The sequence below is a fragment of the Homo sapiens genome, chromosome 20 (genome assembly GCF_000001405.40).
Source record: "Homo sapiens chromosome 20, GRCh38.p14 Primary Assembly".
Lineage (NCBI taxonomy): Eukaryota > Metazoa > Chordata > Mammalia > Primates > Hominidae > Homo > Homo sapiens.
This window is the reverse complement of record NC_000020.11, coordinates 57,088,505-57,095,207: the sequence shown is the minus strand read 5'-3', so window position 1 is coordinate 57,095,207 and position 6,703 is coordinate 57,088,505.

Genomic DNA, 6,703 nt, shown 5'->3' with positions numbered 1-6,703 from the left:
TAAGGCCTTTCCACCGACTGGATCAGGCTCGCCGGGTCATCCAGGCCAACCTTTACTTAAAGTCAGCTGATGACGGGCTTTAATCACATCTACCAAACGCCATTGTAGCAACACCTAGATGAGTGTTTGGTTGAATAACAGGGGACTGCGACCTCACCAGGTTCATGCGTCAAATTGAGCACCTCAACACCCCATCTAGTAAGTGGTGGAGCTGAGGTTTGAACTGAGCCTGACCTTAAGCCCATTTTGATTACCATGAGCAATTAATTAATTGATGCAGCGACCTCACGAGGCAGGTGTTGTTAGCCCCACCTGCCCAGGCTTACTGAACATTGCTCCTAGCCGGCATTCAAGAGATACTTTCTTAAATGAATGAATGAATTTGTTTAGCCAAGATTCTCAGCCTGCTCTAGCACCTACTTACTTCCCACCTGCCCCATCCTGTCCTCACCCATCAGGAGCTGCCCGGGTGATCTGAGCAGTGGGGACTTTTATTCTGGTGAGGAAACCCAGTGTGGGACGAACTTGCTGTGGAGGGAAATGAGGGGTGCAACCCAGGTCAGGGTTCTGGCCAAGCCTGAGGCGTGCCACTGAGGTCTGTGTGCCCACAGAGGCGGAGGTCCCGGGTCTCTGTCCTGTCTTCTAGACTACTCAAGGGCCTGGCCGGGAGGGCCACCCACCCAAGACAGTCATCCTGGGCTGCAGATGGCCACTCAGCATCTCGCAGCCACAAGCAAAGGACAGGCTCGGTGACCAGGCCCTGGCCTCTCCCATGCCTGACCGCCCACCGGGCTGGGACTGGGGGAGCAGAGGCCGCTGCTTTGATGCTGGTCTGCTCTTAGCCATTTCCCGGATGACTGGCTCGTGAAACCGAATATGAGGGATCCAAAGACTTTTATGGGGGACTTTTCTGCTTCCAGCAAATTCCAGGACACGATTTTACAACCCCCTGATTCCAGGCCTCCCTTTGCCCCCACTCCCCTTCATCTGCAGGGAAGGTCTGAGGCTTCTACTGAGTGGCGGGTGGGGGGTGTCACTGAGGTGGGGGTGACCAGGCAGGAACAAAGGGGGGGATAGGACAGCTGGGCAGAGGGTGCCCCGGAGATCAGGGCTGAGTCCCTCAGCAGGGTCTCAGGTTAGGCGGCTGCAGCCGGTATACCCGGAGACACAGCAAGACCCAGGCTTGGTCCACATTGGAAGGAGATCCAAGGCCCAGGGACATTGAATTTCCATGAGGAACAGCAAGATCTGTCCACATGGGAGGGCCTGGCCATCCTGCTCCACTCAAAGGGACAGCGCAGGGCAGGGGTGGGGTGGAGACAGAAACACGTATGGAGATGCATAGAGACGCCTACAGACAGACACAGGGAAGGAGCACGCAGACGGGGACACAGCAGCACCCATGGAGGGAGAAGGGACTGGAGATGCAAGGGAAATGCGCTCTGAGAGGCGAAGATGGGGATGAGGCCTCGGAGCAGCCAGAAAAGAGAAGGGCACAGCTGGCATCCAACCTCAGCTGTAGGGTGACATGTGGGTGTTGTTTTACGCCGCCAGGCTCATGGCCATCTGTGACAGAGGAAGCTCTGGGTCTAGAGGGAAGCTCCTCAGGTCTGCACCCTGGCTCTGCTGCTCACTAGCTCAGGCAGGACCCTGACTTAACTGCCCTGTGCCTCAGTTTCCCCTCTGTAAAGGGGGATGGCAACAGTGCCTGCCTCATAGGGTGGCCATCAGGGCTAAACAAATTAATAGATGTGTACACGAGGAGTACAGCCTGCACGTAGGTGCCCGCAGACATGAGCCGTCGCACTGCCCGAGTCATTATTTCTACGTCACACAGGCGTTCCCCTCCCCCACCCACCCTCCCACCAGCCTCGTGGGGAGTTCTCTGAGCATCCATTTCACAGTGCGGAGAGACAAGCACCTCCCCACAAATATTCCTACACAATCACTCACCCCCACCCTCATGCCTGTCCAAGGTCCAGTGAATTTGTCACCCTCCTGGAGTGCCGTGTCCACCCCAGGTGGGCAGGGCTCTGCCCCTCCCACGCCTGGGCAGCCGGGCACCTGGCCTCCCTGCCCAGGGGCTGGGTGCTCTCCCACCAACTCAGGGAACCCAAGAGGGGAGGGTCAGGAGGCTGGTGCGGATGCCCACCGGCTCGGTTCCTGTGCTGCTCTTGGCAGCCCCCATACCCTGGAGTCCAGTTTCCTCTCCGTAAAGCGGGCATCATCACGACAGCGCCTGCTCCCTAGACCCCGGTGCGGATTGAAGGAGGGAGAGCAGAAAAGCAGGCTGGCATCTTCCCGGCTCCCAGCAAGTCTGTGCGGGTGGAAGGGTGGTTGTAATGGATGCAGGCGGTGGGTTGGAAGTGTGTGTGCCTGTGCTTATTCTCCAGCTGGGCCTGCGTGGAGGAGGGGTCAGAGGGGAGGTCCTCCCAGCTGGACGGACTGATCCCTGTCGGGGTGTGTCCCGGCCTGGGGACCCTCACTGCCCTCTGGCCCTGGCAGGACTCGCAGGCCTCTGGGGATGTTATGGCCACCTGGCAGGTCCCTACCCCTCCCCGCAAGTCTGAGGCTCTGGGGTCACCGCTCAGGGCAGGGCTCTTGCAGGGCACCTTGGGTAGGGCACAGGCAACTCTCAGGGGGATGACAGGCCTGTCCTGGCATGCTGGCTGTGTGGAAAGGGGTGTGTGTGACAGTGTTTCTGAGTGTGTGTGTGCACGAGCCTGCATGTTGGAGCGTGCATCTGTATGAGTGTGTGTGTGAGTGAATGTGCAGGGGTCTGTGTGTGAGCAAGCATGTGTGTGAATATGTGTTTCAGTGTGTGAGGGACTGGATGCGTGTGAGTGCGTGAGCATGAGGCTGCGCGCGTGCCCGCGTGTCCCTTGTCAACTGTGAGAGCGCAGGCCGGGGGCACAGTGAGTGCGGACGCCCTCTGGTGGGTGCTCAGCATATTCTCAGCCGGTGGCAAGAAGCGTGCGGGGGAGCGGCTCTCTCTGCAGGCCCTTGCGGAGGGCAAGCTCGTGCGGAGTCGCTCGCTACACGCAGGTCCTGAGAATGAAGCCAAAGCTGTGGTTGCCGAGCGGGCCTGCTGCCCCTGACTCGCCACCCAGCAGCTGTTCCCCGAGCGCGCACTGCGAGTCAGGTGCAGGGACACCGGCTGTGCCCCCTGAGCCTATGCTCTCTCCACGCTGCCCTCCCTGGGCTCCTCCTGTAACCTCTGTCTCCTCCCCTTCCCCCCTCTCCTGGGGGTCCACCTCCCAGCACCCCCTATGCTGTGCCTGACTTCTCTACTGGACCTGAGTCCCGGAGGACCTCACTTTATCCAGCTGCCAGCCCGCTGGCATGGCGAGTGCCTCATATGTGGTCGTTCGATGAACCCCTCTCTGCTTTGGCTGCCTGGCATCTCGTCATTACAACTTTCTCTCCTCCAGGAAGCCCTCCATGATGTCACATCACCCCCTCTCGGGGCTTGTGTCTGCCTCCTTCAGCAGACTGCCTTGTTCAGTACTGTATTGCCTGGCACACAGTAAGTGCTTAGTAAATATGTATTTGTTGAGAAAAGGAATGACTGACTGACTGAATGAATGACTGAATGAATGAATGGGAGGCATGGGGATGGGGAAAGAGATGAGGGAAGGGTAAGAACCCTGACTAATGTGGACAAGTAATGACAATCCCAGCGACCTCCCAACCTTCTCCTTGTTGAGGTAAAGAGCTGCTGACTGGGACCCGGCCTGTGACCAGGCCTGGCCAGCCCGGCAGGACCCAGTAATCCAGAGCCAGCGGCTCAGGTTGAGTCCCAGCCTCAGCACTCACACTTTTGCGGGTGGAGAGGCATGAGTGGGTGGGAGCGAACACAGGTGGAGGGTGAACGCAGGTGGGAGGCGCACGCAGGTGGAGTAGTGCGTGCCAGTGGAGGTGTGTGCATGGGTGGTGTGTGCCAGTGGAGGTGTGCACATGGGTGGTGTGTGTGGGTGGAGATGTGTGTGGTGGTGGAGGTGTGTGCGGGTGGAGGTGTGTGTGTGTGGGTGGAGGTGTGTGCATGGGTGGTGTGTGTGGGTGGTGTGTGTGGGTGGAGGTGTGTGTGTGTGTGGGTGGAGGTGTGTGTGTGTGGGTGGAGGTGTGTGCATGGGTGGTGTGTGTGGGTGGAGGTGTGTGTGGTGGTGGAGGTGTGTGCGGGTGGAGGCGTGTGTGGGTGGAGGTGTGTGTGGGTGGAGGTGTGTGAGGGCGGAGGTGTGTGTGGGCGGAGGTGTGTGGGCGGAGGTGTGTGTGGGTGGAGGTGTGTGTGGGCGGAGGTGTGTGTGGGCGGAGGTGTGTGTGGGCGGAGGTGTGTGTGGGTGGAGGTGTGTGGGTGGAGGTGTGTGTGGGTGGAGTGTGTGGTGGTGAAGGTGTGTGTGTGTGCGGGTGGAGGTGTGTGTGCGTGGAGGTGTGTGTGCATGGCGGAGTGTGTGGTGGTGGAGGTGTGTGGGTCTGGAGCTGCACCAGCTTGTGCAACTGTGAGTGTGTGTGGCAGGAGCACCTGAGTGCGTTCGTTTCCTCTTGCTGCTGTGGCAAATTTTCCCAAACTTGGTGGCTTAAAACAACACTTGATCTCATAGTCTGGAGCTCGGAAGTCTGAAGTGGGCCTCACTGTGCTAAAATCAAGGAGTGGCAGACTGCATCCCTTCCTGAGGCTTTGGGGGGAACCAATTTCCTGGCCTTTTTAGTTTCTAGAAGCCACCACATTCCTTGGCCTGTGGCCCCTTCCGCCCTCCCCAAATCCAGTGGTGGCCGGTGGAGTCTCTCCCTGCATCACTTCAACCTCCGCTGCTCTGTCACATGGCCTTGGTGTGACTCTGACCCTCCTACCTCCGTCTTATAAGGAATCACACTGTGCCCACCCAGCTAACCTGGGAATATCTCCCCACCCCAGGATCCTTAATTGAATCACACCTACAAAGTCCCTTTTGCCATGTAAAGTGACATGTTCACAGGCTCTGGACATTATTCCGTGAATCACACTGGGTAGATAACTTCCCACTCTGAATCTCAGCTCCTGCGTCTCGAAAACAGGTATGAGCTGTGCTGGCCTCGGAGGATCCCAGCTCCCGGGCTGTGTGCACCTGCACGGTTCCTGCCTCTGGATCTGCGGGAAGTGCAAGGAGCCCTGGGGGTGGGGAGGTTGTCAGGGCGTGGGCCCAGCTCCCTACCGGTGCCGTGCCACTTAGACACCTTCTGTGAAAGGCCTGGTCATAGCAGCAGTGCCTGCTCCAAAAGGACTGTCCTGGCACCTCGTCAGAACCGTGAGGGTCCCCACTGTTGTAACTTTGTCAGGACACAGGCAGGGACACCTGGCGCTGGGCAGCCCCTCTCCTGCCTGTGTCAACCCAAGGGCCTCCTCCCTTACAGGTGGCTGCTGCCCTCTGCTGGCCGCCGGGGGGTCCTCCAGGGTGCCCTGTGGCTGCTTGGGGCAGCCTCTTCCTGGTTCCCCTGGGGTTGGGGATCTTCCTGGTCCCCACTTTGGGGTGGACTCAGGCATGTGCACCTAGAGGCTGTTGTCAACACTGCTATTAATAGAAGGCCACCTCCTAAGGTGAGGCAGCCCCGACTCAAACAACGCCTGGCTCTGCTTCAGGCAGGAATCATGGCCACTCAGTGGGTCTCCTGGTCACTGTCCGGTGGTCAAGTAGCCTGATATCTACTCACTGGTGTCCTGGAGCCACCCAGACTTGTGCTCTGGCCCTTCCTGGCTGTGTGACGTAGAACAAATTACTTTACCTCTCTGAGTCTTGGTATCCTCTTTTGAAAAATGGCATTAGTATCTGCCTTGCAGTGCTGGAGCCATATATATACTAGAAAACATAGTCTCTGACATTTGTTGAGCATCTACTATACACCAGGCCCTGACGCCCTTCCTGCATCATCATATTACCTCCTAACTGGGCTTATCAAATCTTTTCAAGAACCTTAGCAAGGAGGTGCTGTTCTGATCCCCATTTTACCGATGAGGAAAGTGAGTCTGGAGACCTGAGGTCTCCTGCCCCAGGTGTACACAGCCAAAGTGGAAAACCAGGATGCAAACTCAGGTCTGTCTAGACCCACAGCCTCTTCTTTTTACCCTGTGTCTCTTGCTTTCTGGTCTCAGCAGAAGTCCAGATTGGCTAATACATATGTTTTTGATCGGTTTAAAAAAAAAAACAAATAAAATTAATGACTTAATGAAAACATTTTGTTTGGTAGCCATTTTCTTCCAAAATAGGGGGTGGCCAGGATATTATAAGAGGTTCTCAGGGCTTGGAGTTGGGGACCCCAGCCTTCAATGCGTGTCACCAGGACGTCTTCAGCAATCCTTCCTGCTCAGCCCCCTGCCTTGACATGCAGCGAACAACAAAGATCTCTGGGAGCAAAACACTCTTGGATCCTAAAACCCTCAAGAAAAGACATCCCGTCCACCCCTTCCCACCCATGATCACCAGTTGCACAAGTCTCCTTTGGAGTTTTTATTGTCAGCTCTTTCTAGTTTCAAAAAAGCTCCTAAAACCAATTCTACTTTGGGTAACTTGGCTTTTGTAACAGCAGAAGCAATGTTTGGATTCCAATTAGCAAACCGCAAATCCCTGTGGCAGCCTCTCTTTTGGGGTGAGTCTAACAGCATAGAATCCATTAGGAAAGGCTTAAAAGGAACATAACGCTTAGGGTCTATTCCGTGCCAGGTGCTTTGTGT